Here is a 22,388-nt window from a genome sequence, read left to right as displayed (position 1 = left end):
GACGCGCTGCCAGCCCCCCGCCCAGCGCACCCCACCCCCTCTCCGCCGCCGCGCACGCAGCGCCGCGGCCCCTGTCAGAAGCTGCAGGATCCGCCCCGGCGAAGCAGGGCCGACTCGCACCCAGGACCCTGGGCCTCTGCCTTCCCTCCTAGCCTTGGAGAAGCAACTGGCCCTCTCCTCCCGCTGAGGAGCGACGCGGGCTGGTAGGACGTCCCGGGAAGGCCGGCAGCTCGCGACCACGTCCCGGCCCAGCCTGGGCGCGCCGAGGAGCAGAGCCAGCGGCCGGCGTTCGCTCCGGCTCCCTCCCCGGCGCTCCGAAGCCGAGGGCGGCTCCTCCGGCTGCAGTCTCGGGGGCGACGCCTTCCCGGGCAGAAGCTTCCAGCAGCGCTCCGCAACTTCTCTCTGCTCCAGTCACTGGGAGAGAGCTCGCCTACCAGGTAAGTAAGGCTGCCCGTGCCTAGGCTGTGGCTCGGGCGGGCGTGTTTCTGAAAGTTGACTTGAAATGCATCCAAGAGTGAGCCGGGCCAGCCGGGGCTCCTCCCCGAGGCGACTCTTTTGCTTCTGCAGACATTCCCGGCACTGGCCGACTGGCGGGAGGACCTCCCCGCGCGCCCCGCACACCGGCTCCTGCGCGCACCCCAACAGAGCGCAGCGCCAGGAGTCCAGAAGCGGGCGGGACGCCCTCCGGGTCCCTTACAGTGCCCCTTCTCGACCTGGGGCAGGTGAGGGCCGCAACGGGGCGGCTGGGACGCGGGATTGCAAACCCCATCGTCCCGCGTGCCTGGACCCGGTCGCTCGAGGGAGGGTACCCACTCTTTATATACCCAATATACCCCAGTAGCTGCGTTCCTGCAGAGACGTCCCGAGGGCCCACCTTCGTATAGGTTGGGGCGGAGTCGGATTCGGGATGGAAAACCTGGGGCAAGGGATGTAGGTGGGGGTGAGGGGGGCAGGAGAAGGAGAAACGCAGTTGGGGGGCGGAGGCCTAAGTACATAACGTGTTGACTTCAAGTGAAATCAGATCAGCCAGAGCAGTTCGCTGTGACTGATCTCTCCTCCCACCCTACATTCTCTTGGCTGGACCCTATCCTCCTGGCTGATTCTGGTCGCCCTGGACACTCCCTCAGTTCTTTCCCAGGAGTGCGGTGGCTGCTGGCGCCGAGTCCCAGCGGGCACGGACGTCAGACGCATCGTTTCTTCTCCTCTACAGGTCCTCCCGGCCCGGCCCGAACATGCTGGACGGCCTAAAGATGGAGGAGAACTTCCAAAGCGCGATCGACACCTCGGCCTCCTTCTCCTCGCTGCTGGGTGAGTGTTCAGGCCGTGCGTCCTGGGCGCACTCTCTTTCCGCTTGGCGCTGAGCTCTGGAGCCCCGCTCTCTGGGACCTGGTCCGCGATAGGGAAGCTAGCGCCCCTCTTCATACACTAAATTGAGCCCCATCACTATCTGTCCGTCAGTGCTTGTGGGTCGTCCCTACCCAAATAAATCCAACAAGCCGCCCCAGGCCTCACGCACTGGGCACCGAATTCCCCAAAGCCGCGAGGGGCGGGCGAGCTTGTTCGTAGGCGTCTGAGTGGCAAGTGATTAAAAATACCCAGGGCTGGATTTTTAATCTCGGAGCTGATCGACGTCTCATAAATGCCGCCCTCTTCTCGCGGCCTAGAGGCAATAGCATCCGAGACCCGAGGCCTGGAGCGCCCAAGTTCGAGGAGGCTTCTCTCCCCCACCAACTCCAGCCCCAATTTCAGCCATGGGCAAGGCCGAGAGAGACTTTTCTGGGCCAGTAGGCAACGCAGCGCGGGGATTAGACCGCGCGGCTGGGCCCTAGGCTCCGCGTTAATTAACTGGAGCTGGATGTCGGGTCCTGTGGGTCCCCCCTCACAACTCCTTTGCAGCGACAGAGGAGGAGCAGCGAGTCAAGGACCCCGGAAGAGTGTCCACACACGGGTCTTGCAGAGCTGAAGCCAGAGATTCTGGTTACGGCTCCCCCACCCACTCTGCCCTTGGAGCTTTTCAAGTTTGGGAAGCCCGTATTTTATTTTATTTTATTTTATTTATTTATTTTTAGCAGGAGGGAGTTTTCCTTCTGTCCTTTAAACCTCTTGCCTCTTTCACTCGGAACCGCTAGAGCGGCATGAATGTGGAGGATGAGACAGTTCTGCTGGAGAAACCAAATCCAGTGAGGAATCTCCCCACCCCCAACACCCTAGATGAAACGAAATCACGTGCACTGAGCGCCCCTCTTTGAACCCCCCTTTCGGGAACTTTTGGACTTGCCCAGCCTCGGAAGAGAGCGGAAGCCAGAGCAGGCAGTACCCGGGCGGGCAGCGGGTGCGGATTTATGTATACAGCGGGCGTCGCTTTTTACTCTGTGTCCTCCGCTCGGCCCACGTTCGCTCTCAACGTGGCCCAGGACGCCGAGACCCTACCGAAAGAAAATAGAATTGTAAAATTGGGATCTATCTCGCTGCTTCTCCTAACCTTCCTCATCCGCTCCCAAAGCGACCGGCCCAGCTCCCGAGCCGGTGGCCGGGCCTCTCGGAAGGGGAGAATGAGAAGAGTGCAGCCGGGAAATGGGGAGCGCAAGAGTGTTGGTACTGGGGGGACAAGGGCAAGAGTGTTGTTGCTGGGGGACAAGGCCTTCTTTAAATAGCTGTGAAAAGTGCCAATATAGGTGGCCAAGCGTCGCCACCTGAACCACCTCTCCGCCCCCCACAAACTAAAGGAACAAAACACAAAGTCCAAGGGGTAGCAAAGAGTGGATTTCCTGCCTCCGCTGAGTCACTTTGAGGCCCGTTTCGCCCTCAAGCACTGCTGCCGAACGCGCCTGGCATCGGGAATCCCGGCCGGGACACTCAGCGGCTTGCTTCTTCCGCTATTTTTTTCCCTCCCTCTGTTTTGACGCTTCTTAGTTATCAAAAACCCATGTGCAATATGCATGCCAGTCAAGACGCAGCAGTTTGGGGTTCATCGGTTTGAATAATATTAGGTTTGCTTCGGAGTGAGACGGTATTTTTCTGTACCCCCAGGACTTTTTAGGAAGAAAAGAGAAAATTTTGTTCCCCCTCAAAAAATAGAACAGAACTCTGCGTTTTAACAAAGAAAAATCCAAATTGTTCTTATGCATTCTCAGTTTTTAAAACAGTCAGTAGAGACAGGCATAGTGATTTAATAATTAATTACGACGTAATAAACCTGAGAGCACAAATTTGTATGTAATTTAATCTTACAGGATGTGCAGACGTTTGCGAGCATACCTGGGTATGTTTGTTAATTAAAGGCCAATTATTGATTTCTATACCCTCCCCCGCTTGGAATTAAACCTTCTCACATAGTCTCCGTTTATTAGAAACGCCACTTGGCTTGATTTTTTCCAGGTTTCAGCTTGGTTGATTAGCAGGAGTTCCCTGGGGTGGGGGGCGCTGGGGGAATCCGTGGATGTGAAGGGATCAGGAGCGGGTCCCGGCCAGGTTTGGCATGGTCTACCTGCCCGGGCTGCTCACCCGCCAACGTCTGTTGTGGCTACAGGCAGAGCGGTGAGCCCCAAGTCTGTCTGCGAGGGCTGTCAGCGGGTCATCTTGGACAGGTTTCTGCTGCGGCTCAACGACAGCTTCTGGCATGAGCAGTGCGTGCAGTGCGCCTCCTGCAAAGAGCCCCTGGAGACCACCTGCTTCTACCGGGACAAGAAGCTGTACTGCAAGTATGACTACGAGAAGTAAGTGGCCGCACCCCCGCAGCGCTCCCCGCGCACTGGCATCAGTGTGCGTCGAGGACTTTGTCCTCCTTTACCCTAGTCCTTTTCTGGAAGGCCCAAGAGACACGCCCAGCGAGCAGAACTTCCCTTCAGCGCAGTCGTGTACATTGCCCCTCACGGGAAGGTGGTAGGGCAGAGATCCGCGCGGGTGCGCGCAGCAGTGGCCCGAGTCCCGCAGAAGTGCGCGCAATGGCTGTCCTCCACGGTCTGCTCGCCTGCTTTCTGGTCCTTCCAGGCCCCTTTCTCTGACTCGGCCGTTTCCAGAGGCCACTCTTTGTTAGCCTTGGAATCCCTCGAGCTTGGTCTCCCTCTTTTACCGGGGTGCCCTGCGGGTTGCCAGTGACCCCGTGTCTCCTTGCTGGTTCTCACCCCATGTTACCCAGGTGTCCGCGCCAGCGTCGCGCCTGTGCCTTGCGGTGAGACTGTATTGACCCCGCAGCTTCTGTCCCCTGTGCCCTGTGCGCGTTTCCCGCTCGGGTTTGTTCGCTGGAGTCCGGACAGTTTGGGCTCGGAAATGGCTCTGCTGCCATTCGGAGCTAAGCGCACAGCCCGTTCGCCCTTTCACTGTCGCCTTCCTGGTTTTCTGCAGAACCCTCGGATGCAGGGGCTTTTAGGACAGTAGTTGGGGCCTGAACTGAAGCCCTCTCCTTCAACCTGTGCCGCCATCCTAGTTCAGGTGTGGGTACGCTCTTCTGCCACGGAGCAAGTTCAGTTCCCTCCTGTCCACATGAACGTTCTGGTACGTTCAGAGGAGAACTGGGAGGCAGGAATTTAAGAAAGTGGATATTTCGAAACTGGATTTTTATAACACTAAAGCCTGGATGAAGCCAGAAAGTGGGAGGTAGAAGAACTTCCTTATTCTCTCCGGGCGTGCCGGGAGGAGCTTAGGAGGTGTAAGGAGAGGGAACGGTTTTTTCCTTGCGAAATGTTTAATTAATAAGTGTATTGGCTTTGCAGGGCTTTGGAGATGATTGAAGAAAAGTGGCTGATCCAGAGGTCTCTGTTTTTGTGCATTAGGACTGGTGTAGGTTGACTGTGTGGACGCGCGCGTGCACGCGCAGAATTCTGCATTTGTCACTGGTGAATGAAAGGGACAGCATTACATGAAGATAATCAAAGGAGGGTTAGCGTGCGTGAAAAGCAGTTCTATCATGTTATATAAAAACACAGTGAGAGGGGCTGAACGGGAGAAGTCTCTGTATAACAAAAAGCACTGAGAATAAATAGAAGTTTATTTATTATTGTTGTCTGGGGCTATGCAAGTTTAAAAACTTGACAAAGTGATTAGACCCTGTGACCACACAAAAAAATTGTTTCTGCCACTCCGCTTTTTTGCCCTAAAATTCTCGAATTTTAACCCCATGTGGAGAGAGTACTAGGCATTTTCTTTTGTCATTTTGAAAAGATAATAGCTTGGCTTTTTTCAGAACTAAAAGAAACGTGTGCTGGATTTTGGATGAGCTGGACAATACAGAAATATATAAAGAAGTGAAAACTCCCTATGACAACCTATGAAGTGATCATTATGGATAACATTTTTGAGAGAAGATGTGACTGTGTATTCTTGGTTGTCTGTTTATTGACATGTTGTCTGAGTGAAAAGTGTAATTTTTAGGTAGTTAAATAGATTTAGCCCACATAACTTCAAGTATCACCTTTGAATAAAGCTTCTGGCTGATTGCTCGCTTTTTTCTCTCTCGCTTTTCATCGAAAGCTTTTGGTATTGTGTAGACCCAATCTTTAACTTTCTGCTTATAGATTACTGAAATGTCCACATCCTTCAGGCACAACACTAGCAAATTCACAAGTATTGGGGCTTAGGAAAGGATTTGGGTTGTGAATTTCTATTCTGTTTGTTAAAAAAAAAAATCACGAATCAAAGAAGGCTTAAGGGTCAACACAGCTGTCTGGCCAGTCAAATCTTCTTTAAGGAAGTCAGGCTGTGTCAAGAGGAGAAGAAACAGTTGTTGTAAAGTACTTAACACAACAATGTCCCTTCCATTTCAGCCCTCCAGGTTTGGCGCGGTTTGGGCTTATTAGCCCAGGAGGGTCAGTTCTCTCCTCACAAAGCTATTTCTGCAAAGGGAAAATTGCAGGGATCAACTTGCCAGCTGTTAGCCAGAACCAAGAAGATTTTACAGAGGGATGTGAGCTACATTGTTCAGAGAGGTGCTGACATTTCAGTGAAGGATTTTAATTTTATTTTAAAAATATTTTTGGAACCATAGATTTCCAGAATTGAGGTTTTTGTCCTCTTTAGCTCATGGCATCATAGCAGTACTGGCCTGTGCTTAGCCCATCAGTTGCTTGTTAGATTAATTTATTCCTTTTTAAAATTCCTTTTTTCGTTTCTCTATCCTCCATCCCAATTATATTCTTTTTCCAATAAAATAGGGTTTTAATATATTTGATAATCTTAATGGTCTTAGTCTGCGTGTTGGTATCTGTAGGAGAAAAAGGAGAGAGATTTTTGTTTGTTTGTTTTGTAAAAAAAAAAATAGGCTCAGGACAAACTTCTTTATTCAGTAAGCTTTTATGGAGCTTCTGTATGCAAGACGCTAGGCTAGATGAGGAGAGGACAATGAGAAAAAGTCTCAGAGCCTGCCTTCAGGAGGCTTATAGCTCAACACTTTTTGCATCTGTGTTGTCCTTGCCATCAAGTATTTCTCAAGGGCTTCTTCCATTTAGAGTGTAGGACTAGATATTGCACAGAAGCTATCTGGAATGGCCAGATATTTATCCTCCAGGGGGAATACAACTCAATTGTAGACAATAGTCCTGAAGCAATTACAAAGGACATTTTCCTCTTTAAAAAATACATTTGTAAACATAGCTTTGCTTTTTTTTTTTTTTTTTTTTTTTTGGTGGATCTTTGAAAAATTTGAGGCCCAAACAAAGTAAATGGGAAGAAAATGAGGTGAAAGTTAAGTGGTAGGACAATGTTGATGGTAAATTAGGGAGCACTTAATAAAAAATGAATATGCAGGCAGTGCCTTGGTTTCCAAAATTCATGAAATTCAAATGCTATTTCTACACATTTAAATGAAAGAATATATAGGGAATGCACAGTTTTCAGTGTCAATCATAGGCATAATATTAACAAAGCAAGTTTATCACATTTATCTTAGCCATCTGTATGTGCATTTCTTGCTGTTGGGCAGTTTTGCATTTGAATTATTAGCTGTCTCTTTATGGTGTTAGGCAACCAGTTAAAAAGTTAAAATTTCATTCTCTCAACTAGCTATTACACCTTTACAATGTCAAACACCAAGTTTTTCTAATTAAAAAAATAGAATTGACAGTGACGTCTTGCACACACAACTATGCATCGGAAGACTTCGGGACGTTTTATTAAGTATTTTTCTCATATACTGCGATGCCGTTAGGAATAATTTATCTTCTGATTACCAAAAAAAAAGCATTTAAGGTGAGAGTGTAGAACACTGATTTACTAATGTATAGAAATTAAGAACTGAAGGCTATAATTGTTATGACATGTCAACATGGAAAAATTGCTAGCTTGGTGGGATGACAACATTTACACAATTGATGAATCTGTACCATGTCATATGAAACATGAGGATACCATAGGTGTAGATGTTTTAAAAGTGGATTCAACTGTCTTCAACGTTCCTGAAAGTTAGCAGACAATCAAAATATTTTCCAGCCTAGGGGACTTCTATTTATATAACTGTTGTTCCCTATTTAACTGAGTCCTCTATGATCTGGTTAGTTTGGAGTTTTCCCTGAATTTGTTCCAAACAAATACTGCAGTTGGACTTCAGTCTGAGACAGAAGAGACTGCTGAATAACGGGAATGTGGTAATACAATAGATAATTAAGCCCTCTAGAAGGGATCCCACAGTTAAATCAAGTTTTTATTGTTTCTTTCATGTGCCTGGCTCTGTGGGTCAGGCGGAGCCCTCTGCCCTCACATATGAAGTTTATCATGATCGCTTGGATTGCTCTGGACATCCTAGGAGCAGTGTGGGATAGTATTGCTGTCATCAGGGCTGTTCTCATAACATCATAACTCCCCGCATGTCAGCAAATCACAGGCCTTGGGAAACCTTTCCTCAGAGAGCCAGTGGATGTTTTCTTCCCTTTCTTTTGGAGAAGACCAATTTTCCAAAGAAAGGGACTGAAAAAGGGGAAAGTGGCTGTCACACTTAGAGCTTTCTCTGCATCTTTCTTTGGACCCGCTGATTGGCAGCCCTGTGGTGAAAACGACTTAGGTAATGATATCTATTAGCATCAGTAATGAACTAATTCTGCATTTTATCAAGGTAGTGGAGGAAGTGTGTGTGTGTGAGGAGGAGTCAGTTTGGTTTTATTACTGTGACATTACTTGGAGATCAAAATTGGGCATGCAGTTACTCATGAAAGGAGCCCACAGATGAAATGACAGAGGCAATTGTTACATTTTTGCTTTACTTTATCTTTTGTTGTCCCTACTCCTGGCACAATAAAATTTCAGGAATATAAAAATCAAACACAGCTAGGCAATAAACTGATGTCTGTGTTAAATTGCAGGGGGCTTAGCTCGGCATAAGCACCGTCCATGGGCCGTGGCTGTGTTTGTGCAGGCACTTAATCTCTCTCTCTTTTTCTCTCTTTTTAATTTTGGAGGGTGATTGGAAACATTCTTTGCTCAGAGGTGTTTTCTCTTTTTATATGTATTGGTCCCTGGGTAAGACTTTCTTGGAATCTAAGACTTAAAATTTTGAAATAAAATTAGATAGCAGGAGTAGATATTAATAGTATTCTGGGAATTAAAATACTAGATATGAACATTCCTTTTTACAGTAGGCTTATGGGATTCTTTTGATCCTTACATAAATGGAACACATTTTTAAAAGTTATTTATTCAGTCTCGTTTTACATATTACACCTACCTGGCTAGGAAATAGCTTTTGATATTCAGATTTTAGTGTGAATAACTTTCCTGATCATTCATTGTTCCCTTGCTTTTTGTTTTCATTTTTCTTATTTATAACATTTGTATTAATCAAAAGACCATTACTAATTTCAGGGAAGCCTCTTGATTGTTGCTTTTTAATTCTGGGAAGGTTTTTGGAGAGAGTGAGCAGGAGCTGTTTCTCTAATGACAACAATTCCAACTATTTCATTATCAGCTAATTTTTCTTTTATGGTCAAAGAAATTATTTGGGTCATAGTGTTTAGAAGGGAGAAAGTAGACAAAGGTTTAAAATACTCATGATATGATCAGAAATTTACTAAAGCATCTTAGAATAAATGCATTTTACAAAATGTCATTGTTGAATTTTATGAAGTTCAAAATAACCAATACTGAATGTTATGATCTTGGTTATTAAGTACAGTTATACAACACTGGAAAATGAATTATGAAGAAAAAAGTGCAATCACATCCACAGGGAAAGATTTAAAAATAATTTCTGCCCTAACTCTGAAACCTTAGCTCTACTTCAGTGTTTTTCAATTTTCTTTCTTTCTTTTTTATGAAGATTTTTCTGACATGGATTTGTAAATGCTCTTTCACATCTTCAGAGAGAAGTTCCCATATAAGCCACTTGGAGGGTGAGATATAGGGATGGGGTGAGGTGTGTCTCTCCCACCCTCTGCATAGAAGCAGAAAGGCTCCTATGTGGGAGGACTCAGCCCTATTTCCAGCATGCCTGAGGCTTCCTCTTAGGAATACTCTATATGTTTTTCTTCAAGAAGTCTCTTAGGAACATTAGGACAGTCACTGCCAGTGGCCTTTTCAGATTTGGTTTGGGGAAGTTGCTAATTTTGAGAGCAAAGTGTAGAAAAGGTTCTGGAGCAAATATCAGAGAGGAGAGAGAAAAGATGCCTTTTTTCCCCTTTGTGCCCCCTTAGAAGGGCCTGTTTTCTGAAAGAGAGGGAGACTTTGTCTTGATACCCCATAGGATTAACATTTTCTCCTTAGTCTCCTTTGACTAGCATGATATGAGGTGTTTTAGTTATTTTATCACAACTAAAATTAGTTACGTTATCATTGACCAATGTCGACTGCAGCTTTGTGTCTCCTTGTCATATATTAAATAAAATCTGGCCAACTGTCTTGCTAAAATGAAGCAAACACCCCCCAAATGTCAAATTGTTATTTTAGTAAAGCACAATTATCTGTCTATATTTTTAACCAAGATGAAATTAATAAAATTGCTATGGCCCTGGTGTTAATTAACGGGAGGATTAGAGCTATATCGGCTAAAAAGGAGGTGTAAACACTGTAATCTTGCTACATGTTTGTTTTCACACTACTGAAAATAAATAAAATGAGACTTAGGATAGGGATTAAGTTTCTTTTGGCATTAGACAGCAGATGCAACTGGAATGCAGCAGAAACCCTGAAGTATTAGTGAAGACATGGTGTAAGGAAGAAAACTGCGGCCCTTCATCGGTTTCCTACCCTGTGGGTATACTTGGTCCTGTCACAAATAGCCCCATCTGGGTAGTTAAAAAAGGATTTTGAAAGCCTACCTCGGTGCTGTTCTTACAGTGGTGAACCAAGGCAACCAAATCATCTGTAGAGCTTGTCGCCTTGCTGCCATGCACAGATTAGCTAGAATTTAATGAAACGATTGCCAGATTCCCCATTATTGCACCATAATGTCATAACAACTAAAAATACAAAGTGGACTGTGCTTTTCCTAGTCCTCTAACTGAAGTCACATGAAAGAGTTTGATCTCTTCCAGCCTTTCAAGATTCCAGTTTGGGGATCCTATTTTTGGATAACAGCAAATATGTCTGGCTTTTCTGACTCTCTGGGCCTCCAACGTCTCCTTGCACCAATAGATCGATCTGTGTTTTATTACTGTTGTTGTATAATAGAGTGATAGATAGATCTGCCTATCTCTGAGAGCTGTCTGGCCACTATGGATTGGAGTGCCTTATCCTACAGGTTTGATTGAACTCCATCGTATTAAAAATATCTTAAGTGTCCAGCTTTGCTGGGAATGGACCACATGCTGTATCTGGACTTCACATCTGCCTCTGTCCCCTTCTCCCTCCCCTATACCCTGTAGAATTTTATTAACTTGACTCTTTCAACCATCCATCAGATGTTGCTTAAACTCTATTTCATCAACTGCCTCATTTTTTGCCCAGACCATTTTTGTGGACTGTTAGTGCTCTTTTGATTTTCTAATTAGCAGTTTATTTATTTAGTAGCGACAGAGTCTTGCTATGTTGCTCCGGCTGGTCCTGAACTATTGGCCTCAAAGCGATCCTCCCACCTTAGCCTCCCAAAGTGCTGGGATTATAGGCATGAGCTACTGCACCTGGCCTAATTAGCCTTTAGAGGCACAAAATAACAGTCATGTGACCACTCAGTTGGGTGGGGCTCAGGCAAATAGACGGTGAGTAGCGTAACTCTCAGGTATGCATAACCTCACGTCCATTACTCTTTGGGTAACCATTTACGGGCCTCTAAAAACCTTTCTGACTGTGCCTGGCACCTTAGTAGATGCTGGATTATGTCCTGCTACTACAGGTGGGTGTGTTTTGGTGGGTGAGAGAAGTGCCAAGTGCCTGAGTCTGATACTGTCACCAATAAACCAGGAGAGTCATTTGGCCAGAAGCCTGGCTAGCAATCGGTAGGATGTAAACACATCACTCATTTTCAACTCTTGGCTGCTTCTCTGAACATCACACTTCTCCTGCCTGGAAAGAAGCATCCTTCATCTCTTAGCACCAGGTTCTACTGCTGCTATGAGAAGAGCTCTTTGGAGCAGCTTCCTCTCTAATTCCATCCCACCCCTTCAGTTGCACAGCAGCCACGCCTTGACTCACAATTCTGTTGCCTCCTCCCTATCAAGCCTCAGGAATCTTTAAAAGGACTTTTCGAAACAAAACAAAACACCCCCTCCTGAACTCCAGATTAGCCTCTTAAGCTCATTAAAGTTCCTTTAAATACCAAAATGTTGGGCTCCTGGGGACTATCCCCCCAAACCATATTTTCATTCTTAGCATTGTTGTCATTCATTGTGCAGCAGATTAAGGCCAGCTCCCCCTGGGCCCAGAAATAGGCCCCCTGTCTCTGCAGGAGGGTCCGAATATGTCTTTGTTTGAGCACCCGACAGCCTGAGCCTGAGTCGGAGCTGATGCCAGCTTGGCCTGGGGCCCCCAGCTCCAGGGTGGGGAGAGGTTGATGTCTCTCCTGAGCATGGGGCCCTGCAAAGGGAATGGGCAGTTGAGAGGAGAAGGTGTTAGTTTTTGCAGTTTTGCAGTTTCACAAGCTTGGCAGTCACTGGGTCCTATCCAGTCACTGGAGAGAATCAGGAATGGGCAAGTGCTCTGATGGCCTGGATTTAAAGAGCTGTCCTTGTCCTAGAGAATCAGGGTGGTTTAGGAGCCTTTGAGAAACACTAGAGCCTAGTTTCTGCGCATCCCCCAGGCATTCCTGGTCCATCACAGTCCAGAGGTGGATTTTTATGGACACACCTGCCTTTTGCCTAATATTTCTTCCTTTATTTCAGCCTCCTTTCCAAAGAGCTTGCTTAATAACATCCTGCCTCCTCTCTGTCATTGCAGGCTTCCTTCTCTAAAGCTGGCTCTTGGGGAGAGCTTTCTGGTTTTGACAGTGGAACAAATCCTTTTAAACATAACCATCTAGAGTTTCCTCCCCTGCTATTGGCTACCGCCTCACTCTTTCTCCTCTTGCTCCTCCTCACATTGTGGCAGGAATTCCTACTGTGCATGTGTTCTCTGGTAATGACAGCCACCGTCTTCACAGGGATGCAGGCATAGCTCTTCAGAGATGAAAACCAGTTGGCAGTGCCATGAGGTAGACTCTGGAAACCCAGAAGGGAAGAACATCCCAGGAGACTCCTCTCTCCTCTTTTTGGCTGGAGTTTTGATTGCACTCCTCTTTTCCCTGGAGCTCTGTGCACCTTGAATTTCTGGATTCAACCACAGCACTTGTTTTCCTAAGCCCCATTTTCAGAATCTCAGCTTGGCTGTGCCTTCTTGCTTGTCTCATGCTCTGAACCCATCTTGTGACCTTTTATGGTTCATATTACTTTGAGTGCAGGCTAGAGTTGGCTCTTAGCTAGCTGTCAAATTGGGAGAATGTTATGAAATAATTCACATTGGGATGGACAAGATAATGTTCTATTCTTCTGAAGATACTTTTTAACCGGAAGGGTGTTCAGTCAAAGGAATGACTATCTTAGGGTAGAATTTTAGGCTCTAGACTGGAACCACTAGTGGAGGACATAATTTTGTGCAAATAACACTTTGTAGGAGGCTTCCCTGTTTATCTATATGAATGGCTGGCCAGTATTATGCACCCACTTTTTTTCTTATGGGCTTTATTTTCTTTACGCTTTGTCTTTGGTTGGGATCTTCCATTTCAAAAACCCATATTCATAGCTGGAAGGGGATAGACAGGTGGGTATGAGTGGTTTGGACACTGCATAGCTCTCTCCATTACTGAAAAAGTAATTTGAAACGCATGTCCTATTGTCAACAGGTGTCCAAGCCATGGTTTTCTCATCTATACAATAGAATGTAAGAATAAAGTTATTGAGAGAATTAAAGAAGATAATTAACCTGAAAGGCCTTTTGGTAAAGTGTAGAGTACTCTACAGGATTGGGTGTTATTATTATTATTATTATTATTATTATTATTATTATTTATATATGAGTAAAAGCTTATACATAGTTTTAGAAGCTGTGTATGATAAGCCAAGACAGTGTAGTTGTTAAGAGCATAGACTTAGGAACCAGAGTATCTGGGATCAAATCCTTGTCCCGCTGTTCCTTAGCTGTGTTACCATGGGCAAGGGTCTTACTTGTTCTGTGCCCATTTCTTCTCTCTAAAACAGGGATAATGATAGTACCAAACTCAAAGGTTCACTTTTGTTTAATATTTGAAATGCATGCAGATCAATGCTTGGCTCATAGAAAATGCTGTAAAATGATTTGCTGAAAAAATGTATCCTTTTTAATTTTCAAAGAACCTTCACATATATTATCTCTATTGATCCTCACAACAGTTTTAAAAGTTAGGTAAGGAGAGGTTTTCAGTTTTCTCCTCTTACATTTTATAGCTGAGGAAATAAAGGCTCAGGGAAGTTAACAACTTGCCCAAGGTCACGCTGTTGGGGAAGAGGAAACTGGGATGCTGTCCCCAGCCTCTAACTCCTGGTCCAATGGCCTTTCCACTAAATCACACCATCTGCTGCTTGAATTCTGGTGTTCACACCCCAGTGAGATCACAATTCTCAGTTTGTCCTGTTGAACCAGCTCTTGGAAAACAAGTCCCCACCTGCTAGATACTTGAGCTTTCAGGCAGCCTCCCGATGGTCAGCTGTTTATAGTATTCTGTGGTTTTAAAGGAAGTTTTTAGGATTTGGGGATTGCCTCTTTGTTTGTATGAGAAATCAGCTCATATACAATCATTGCTCTTGTTTGTCAAACTCCTTCACACACACAAAGCTGTCCTAGCCCATCCTTTCCTATCCCACACCAACCCCATTGATCTCTATTGCCCCTCTAGCATATAGCATAGCTCTTCTTCCCCCCAGCCCCCAGAAGAAGGACAAAAAGGCAAGCAGAATCCATTTTCTTTCTCTCCAGCTCCCAGGGTTTGCTATTGGTGACTTTTGTCCTGGGAGCTTGTCTGCACATTTGGCAGCAGAACTGTTGAATATCATATCCGGAGCTTCCAGCATAACTTCCATCGGGACCAGCCAGCAGCTGTCCATCCATTCCTTGCATAACCCCTTTCCAAGTTTTCTTCTGAACTGTGTTGTATTTTCAAACAAGTCTCAGCCTTAGCTAGAAAAGATCCCACTGTGCCCCCAGTGGAGGCTGATTTCCAGAACTGTTGACATCCCTCTTGTTTTTTACTTGGCCTAGCTGGATCAAAAAGTGATAATGGAATCCCAGTTTTTAAGGAAACTGAGTATTCCTGTATTGTATTATTTCTCTCACCATTGCTGAAATTTTATTCTCTTAAAACTAGTTCTAGTCCATTTTGGAGAGATGAAATATGTGTCTGAATTTAATGTTTGTAAACTGGTATTTAATGAAACTAGAGATTTCAGGTAACACATGAGCAACTGGAATGTACTTTACCTAGTTGCATGTGGAATTTTCTAATTTAGAGTTAAACAGACTCTTATAAACAGTTGGTTCATTAATTAAATCACTCATTCATTCATTTAATCATCAAACATTCGTATTAAATTCCTGTATGTGTCAGGTATGTAAAAATGAATAAAACAAATCACTCATGTACTAAAGGTCTAGCAGAAACTGTTTAGACATGTAAATTAAGCAGATGCTTTGAAAAAAGAATAACATTATTTTAAGAAAGGCATGGCCACAGGGATAGAAAACCAGGTTATCTAAATTCCTTGGTTCTGTATTACTATGTGCTATTCATCATCTTCAAGGCACTTATTACAATTTGAAATATATATATATATATATATATTTGGTTTATTGTCTGTCTATGTCACTAGACCATAAGCTCTATGAAGGAAGACACTTCTTGTTTTGGTTTTGTTTTATAATCCCTACATCTCCATAATCTTGCATAGTATTTAGTGAATGCATGTTAGTTGAATAGATAAATTAATTACGTGACTTGCTTGGGGTTGTTTAAAAAGCTTCATGGAAAAGGTGACATGTTAACTGGCTCTTGCAGGATGAGTGGGAGTGTAGGAAAAGAGGAGATGATGGGAGAATTCCAAGTGGAAGAAGAAACATGTGCAAATGGATGGAGCCCGGAAAAGAAAGTGTGCTAGTTACTGTGGTCACTGGTCATGGACATGGTGGTGCCACAACATCAAGAGCATTTAGGGTATGGCTGGTTGTGGACTGCAAAATCATGCCAAGTCACTATGAGTGTTGTGTAACATACAAAGAACATTCAGTTTCATACTGTGGTTAGTAGGCAGCCAGCAGGGATTTCTAAGCATGAAATATTGTGGCCATATTTATTTTCTGGAAAGGTAATTCTGGTGGCAAACTGGGGCACTGGTAGGAGTGTGGGTAGAGACTGGCAGAGACCACTTAGATAGTTGTTGCTATAGTCTAGGCAAGAGATAATAAGGATATGAATTAAGGTGAGAGGTTGGGAATGAAGAGGACAAACATGACCTAGAAAATATTCCTGACGTAGGATAAGTTGAACATCATGACTTTTGACTGAGGAAAGGGGTGATAAAGAGAGAAGATTTGAAGATGATCCAGAAGGGACAAGGTGGACTGTTACATCAGTACCTGATAGAGGGAATTTAAGAAGTGAGCAGGAGACAGGCAGAAGCAGATAATGAGATAACTGTGAACATGCTATACTAAGTTACTGGTGGGACAGTCAGGTGGAGATGTCCAGGAGGCAGTTGTGAAAGAAGATCTGGAAACTAGCCAGGACACAAAGCTTTGGGATACATTGTCATATAAATATCAGAAGAGGGGAATGCCCAAGGGTGTACTACATGAAAAGAGAGCCAAGGTTGACTCTGTGGGGGAACACCAGAATTCAAAGAGCTTTGGGAGATTCTGTAATGAGATGACACAGAGGCAGGGGAGAACATCAGAGTGAGTGGAGTTCTGGAAGGCAGGGCAGTAGTAGGGAATTTCAAGAAGTAGGGCTTCCTGTTTGCCCTTACCAAGCGTAGTTTTGGCCAGGTACAGTGGCTCATGCCTGTAATCCCAGCACTTTGGGAGGCTGAGGTGGGTGGATCATTTGAGTCCAGGAGTTTGAGACCAGCAGTGAGACCCCATCTCTAAAAAAATAAAAACAAAAACATTAGCCAGGTGTGGTGGCACATGTCTGTGGTCCCATGTACTCGGGAGGCTGAGGTGGGAGGATGGCTTTTGCTCAGGAGTTTGAGGCTGCAATGAACCATCACCATTGCACTCCAACCTGGGCAACAGAGCAAGACCCTGTCTCAAAAAACCAAACAAACTAGGTTTGCTAGAGGCATAGAGGGTACAGGACAGCATTTTATACCATATAAAGGCTATATAGTAAAAAGAAGTTGAAGAAATAGGGGGAGTGATGTGGCCACTCTTTCAAGAAGATGCGTAGTGAGAAAAAGATGGGGGGCAAAGATACCACTTGGGGTAGAGATAGAATGAAGGGAAGATGCTTTGGGATGAGGTAGTTTTGAGCCTGCTTGATGGCTAAGGTGAGTTTAGCCAGGGAAGGAAGGAAGTTGAAGATCCAGGAGGGACAGTGGGGCATCCATGTGATAGAGGAGAAGCCTAGGGAAGGGTGAGGGGCACATCTGGGGCACAGGTTCTGCCCCTGCTTTGCTCCTTCCCAACCACTCCTTCCCTTTGTTCTTTTGTACATTTCCCTGTGGGTTTGTTAGAACTGATCACTGCAGTACAGGGGCTGGCAGAGGTGGGTCTGCTTTCCATCACTCCTCAAGGCCTCTCAGTAGGTGAGAGCTTCTCACAGAGCTGCTTTGCCAATGCGTTCCTGGGTCATGGGCCTGGGAATGGCAGTAGAGCGAGGCTCCCACCTATTTCCTTCTTCTTCAGATACCAGTCATCTCAATGCGAAGCTCACCGGCCTGACCTCTTTTTGTTTTTGCTCCTGATCCATGCAGAACTCTATTGCATGTTGTCAGAAGTATACCACCACATGGCCAATTCCCCAAGACAGGTCTATAAGCCTCCTCAGGCCTGGAACCAGTCAGCTGTGCCTATGCACATGCCTGTCAGTTGAAGAGCTTTCGCTTTCTGTGATGCTTGGGAGGACTCTCAAAGCAAGGGAGTTCAGGGTGTGGGTACCATCTTCCTTGTTAACCAGACTGCAGTAACACAGTCTGTACCCAGCTACTGCTGTTTTGTAGCGTTGTCCACTTGGTTGGTTAATATGTTTACTTCCCCAGACTGGAGAGTAGGGTGACTAGTGGATAACAGTGGGTTTTTAGAATCTTTGAGCTTTAATTCTGTCTTTGCCTCTGCTTTGGCTGGCTGGGCCTGGGCAAATCATTTAACCTCTTTGAGATGATCCCATTTATTGCAGTGCCTTTACCTTGAGCTCTCTGAGGTGTGGAACATGCTCACAAACAGCCTGATGTGTGCAATGGTGGAGAATTAATTGTTTTGACAGGGAGAGGGAGAACAGTGTATGGTCAGGTGGGAATACTTCCCTAGGTCTAGGGCTGTCATATCCATATAACCATAGAAAAGAAACAGTGACAAGGTCATAAGGGGCCAGACCTCTGAGCTTAGAAGGGAATTAAACTGAACTTGGTGCTACCAAGGAAGCCAAGTATTTTCCAATGGCTCTGCTTCTGTGGCCAGTAAATTCAGTGGAAAATATATTAGTGACAGGTTATTTGATATCATAGACATCCAACTAATTCATGGAATGGATTTTTCTACTTGTCAACTGGTTGTTAGACCTTAGTTTGGACTGCGCTCAATAGAGCTAGAAGGGAGACTTGGGTAGAGAACTGTAATACAAATTGCAACACTTAATGATGTATTATTTTTCAATTTCCCTGTTGACAGTTAAGAGCAAGGGCCAAATGAAATGCACTCTTTTAAATGGCAACATGGACACAGTGGGATTGTTGGAAAGCCATTAGTAGCCAAACCTAGTTAATATCAGCTCAGGTAAATGCTCTCCATCACCGGCCCCTTTCCCTCAACTCAATTATTAAAGGATTAAAGGACTTTCCCAATGAACTCCCTTAAAAATTTAATGGTGTGCAGTATTGCAGAGGTCAAACTGTTATGATGAAGTGATTTCAGCTTTGCCCTGACATTGCTGGCTATTCAGAGAGAAAGAGGGTTCTGAAGCTCACATTACCTGTAATGTGGTAAGGCCCACCATCAATAAAGTCACATGCTGTGGAATCCAGGGAGCTCATATTCCTGACTTTTACCAGATTGTGCTAATTTCTGGGGACAAAATGGAGGGAGAATATGTCCTTCTGGTAGCCTTCCAATTAGTGTGGCATCTGTCCAGATAGTACTTATTCGTTCTTAGGATTGGATAGTATTTTTAAGAGATGCTAATGGAAAAAGATGTGTCCCAGACCTTGGTTTGATGTTAAATTGTGCATAAGGGGTGAATCAATCCTCAACAGCTGCTGGCAACCTTCTTAAACATGGAACATGTACTTTGAGTTGCCGTTTCTGGGGTAGTAACACACACACACACACACAGAAACACACACACACAGATGCACAGACACACTCTGTCCACTAGCATAATTGAGGATATGCCTATGTTGGGTCAGTGGGCAAGGTCAAAGCTGTAGCTTCTGGCCAACTAAAACTGAGTCAACTCCTCTTGGTGTCTTTGAGAACCCAACCCATATCCTTAGACTCAGGGGCACCAAGAGGTAAATAACGGCGATAACCAGCCACAAGCAAGCTATTTTAAAATCCAAGGACATCAGTACACAGTCAGTGCTCTGGAAATGCAGCTCTGCAATAGGGAATGCAGTCAGGGGTGAAGATGGTACTTCTGGATTAGTGGCATCTGTCTTACCAAGTCTCCATGGCAAGAGACAATGCACCTCATGACGGCCTTATTAGTGAGTCACTTAGCATGGAGAGGCCCCAGATTTCAAGAATCCTTTCTAATTTTAAAGCTCGTTTTGGTATAGGATCTACTATTTGTTTCTTTGTTTTGTAAAACCCATTCCTATTTGGTTGTTTTAGAGTTGGAGTGCAGATTATTATCATTTTTCATGCATAGTTGCTTTTCAATCTTCCCTTCAAAAGGTGAATCCATTGTGACTGAGTTTCTTTTCTCTATGCTCTAAAATTATCATTTAATTAAAGATATTGTTATGTTTAGAGTAAGATTTAGAATTGTGGCCTTAACTCTCAGTTTTAGCTTGAAAGATAAATTTTAATTCATTCATTTATTTTGTCTACTAATACTTATTGAGCAACTACTATGTATGAGGCATTGTTACAGTTACTTGGGATACAGCAGTGATTATATTCAAGATGGAAAGAAAGAAAATAAACAAAATACATTTCTCCAGATATCCACAAGTTTGACTCCTCCCTCATGTGTGTACTAAATGTCCATATTCTCCCACTCTGACCACCTATTTAATATTGCAACCCACTTCTACTCTCCCCATCTTCCCATAATTTCTGCATAGTTTCTCTTTTCCCAGACCACTAATTATCTTCCAGAATATGCTGTAGTTTATTTCTTTAGTATTTAAATATATTGTTTGTTCTCCCCATCAGATTTTAATCTCCATGAATGCAAGGATTATTGTTTCGCTCACAAGTCTGATGCCTGGAATAGGATAGGCATTAGGTCGTTGAGGAAGGGCTGGAGTAATTGAATGTGAGAGTGAATGAAAATGAAGACAGAAGGGTGATTCCAAGATATTCCCCCTGAGCTGGGTGTGTGGTGATGCCCTGTACTGAGATGGCAACGGTGTAGGTGGAGGGGTTGGAGTAGGGGTAAATAATTAGCAAATTTGTTAAAGAGGCTTATGGAGTAGGGGTAGAGCAAGGCTTTTCTTGGATATGGACAAGATAATATTCTGCTTCTTAGCACCATTACTTTATTCTTTAAAAACTTCTTCAGAGGCCAAAAAGGAAGGGGAAGTGTAAAGGAGGCAAGCAAGTGAAAAATCCAGTGATGCTGATATTTGCGGGCTCTCTTTGGGTCTGTTTGTGTCTGTTTCTGGGGAAGAGGGTCCCTAGATTTGAGTAGATCTTCAAAGTGTCCTGTGATCCCGAAATGATTAAAGGTTAGTGATCTAGAAGAAAGGAAAAGTATTAAGTACTTTTAATTAGGCACATTCTAACAAGGAAATAACACTGTGAGAAGGAAGGACAGGAAGATACATAGAGAACCCTTAACCCCAAACCCCACCCCACCCCTGACAATAGGGATATGGGTTCAAATCCCAGCTCCGTTAACATCTGGGGAATCTCTTTCCTTATTTCTAAAAGGCAGGCACTATCTCTTTACATACGTTTTAGGGATTAAACATATGTATGTTATAAAGCATTTAGTAAAGATCCTCGATAAATGGATGCTAATTATACTAATAATTTACTTGGTAATGTTTAGCAATACCAACCAATTGCAGAGTAGGCTCACGTGGGCAATTTTATTCTCATACCAGTGGTTTGTTTCTTTCATTACCTTTAAACCTCAGCATTACTTTTTCTAAGAATTCTCGGTGGATATACCTAATATTTTAAAAGGATGTAAAAGCTGACAGATTGCCTCATAAAGTAAAAACATACATCAGATTCAAGAAAAAAAATCAAGAACAAGAAATACTTGGTTTGGAGCTTCAAATAGAAGATAAAATATACTTGCCCTTGTTGATTTATACAAACTGACTGATGAACTTAAACTGTGATCATCCAGTATTTATTTGGTACATTAATCCCAAACTGAAAAATAATTAGCAAATTTGTTAAGGAGGCTTATGTTTACCTTTCTTTGCTAATTGTGATCATTTGTTGGTAACTGAATGTTGAACTGTATTCCACTGACTTGATTATAGCTGTCAGGAAGGAAATAATGCGAAAGAAGTGGGCCTCTTAAATCATACTGTATTTAAGAGGCCCACTTTCTCTCAGAAGGTATGCATAATAACAAGACTTACTGAGTTATTGATTATCCTTTATAAACAAGACCACGAAATGCTCCCTAATTAATCCATTTGTTATTATTAATTTAGTGAATGGACATACACTCACATTTTCAAATGTATCTATAACAATTATTAATTTATGCATACATTATGTATTTTTGCTTTTATAAAAGTTCAAAGTCTTCAAATTTTTATTTTTTAAGAAAATCATATACAGTTTCTCTCAACTCTTTTAAGATTCATTTTGAAGGTACCATGCAAAACTGTGGGCAGTGAATATTGAAAGCTTAAAAGAGAGGAAGGTCATATTTTAAGTAAATAATATAAATCATTCCTAATTTGTAATCCTATATTCTGTCTTTCTATTTCAGAACCCAAACTAATTTACATAGAAATATTTTCTTTCAAATTTGAACACACAGTAAACCTCTTAACAAAGGGGTGGTGTTTCAGCAATACAATTCAAGGTAAAAAACATTCAGGACTTGCGGGAAGAATTACTGCATCAGGGAATACTCTAGGACAGAGTTTCCTCCCTGGCCACCCTTGAAGGGTGACTCTAGACCTCCTGAGACTGACTGCGTTGGGCTATAGCTCCCAGGCACGGTGGCCAGAGACTGGGCATTCCTGGAGGGCTTCTGCCCTTCTCTCAGGAGATCAAGAGACTGGTCTTGGGCCCCTGAAAGAGACCTCTTCCCTTAGCTTGTTGCACTAATGCCTCTTCAGTTATAGACTTGCTGGGTGTAAAGAGGAGTGAAGTTCTTCTCAATTCCTTTCATGGTCAGGACAACATCAGCATAAAAAGAATTTAATTTAAGCAAAACGGCACAGTATTTAGCTTCCTCATAATTAGTCATGTGATTATGTATGTTTAGTTTTGAAATAGTGGCAGGGTATGTGAGAGTCAGACCTGGTTTGAAACTTGTCATTTATTAGTTGTGTGACCTTGGATGGGTATTTGATATCTCTGTGCCTCAGTTCCTTCACATTTAAAGTTAGGATGATATATTACCAACCTCAAAGGAATGTTTTGAGTTTTAAATGAGATGATCAATGTAAATA

The 22,388-nt window shown here is 43.9% G+C and overlaps 1 protein-coding gene across 3 annotated transcripts in view; it reads left to right on the top strand.

The window, feature by feature from the left end:
• The first annotated feature begins 76 nt into the window (after positions 1–76).
• The window catches only part of LMX1A (LIM homeobox transcription factor 1 alpha), a 154,849-nt gene continuing 132,537 nt past the window's right edge, over positions 77–22,388 (top strand). For 2 of the 3 annotated variants that reach the window (NM_177398.4, XM_011509540.3), the window contains exons 1-3: positions 77–437; positions 1,211–1,308; positions 3,530–3,716. In NM_177398.4, the coding sequence (NP_796372.1) occupies positions 1,233–1,308; positions 3,530–3,716 (263 nt within the window). In that variant the 5' untranslated portion in view covers positions 77–437; positions 1,211–1,232. Of the gene's footprint in view, positions 438–569; positions 723–1,210; positions 1,309–3,529; positions 3,717–22,388 lie in introns of those variants that run through there. The other variant, NM_001174069.2, reaches the window with a different exon arrangement.

Source organism: Homo sapiens, chromosome 1 (assembly GCF_000001405.40).
Source record: "Homo sapiens chromosome 1, GRCh38.p14 Primary Assembly".
Taxonomy (NCBI): Eukaryota; Metazoa; Chordata; class Mammalia; order Primates; family Hominidae; genus Homo; species Homo sapiens.
This window is presented reverse-complemented; position numbering and strand designations above follow the sequence as displayed.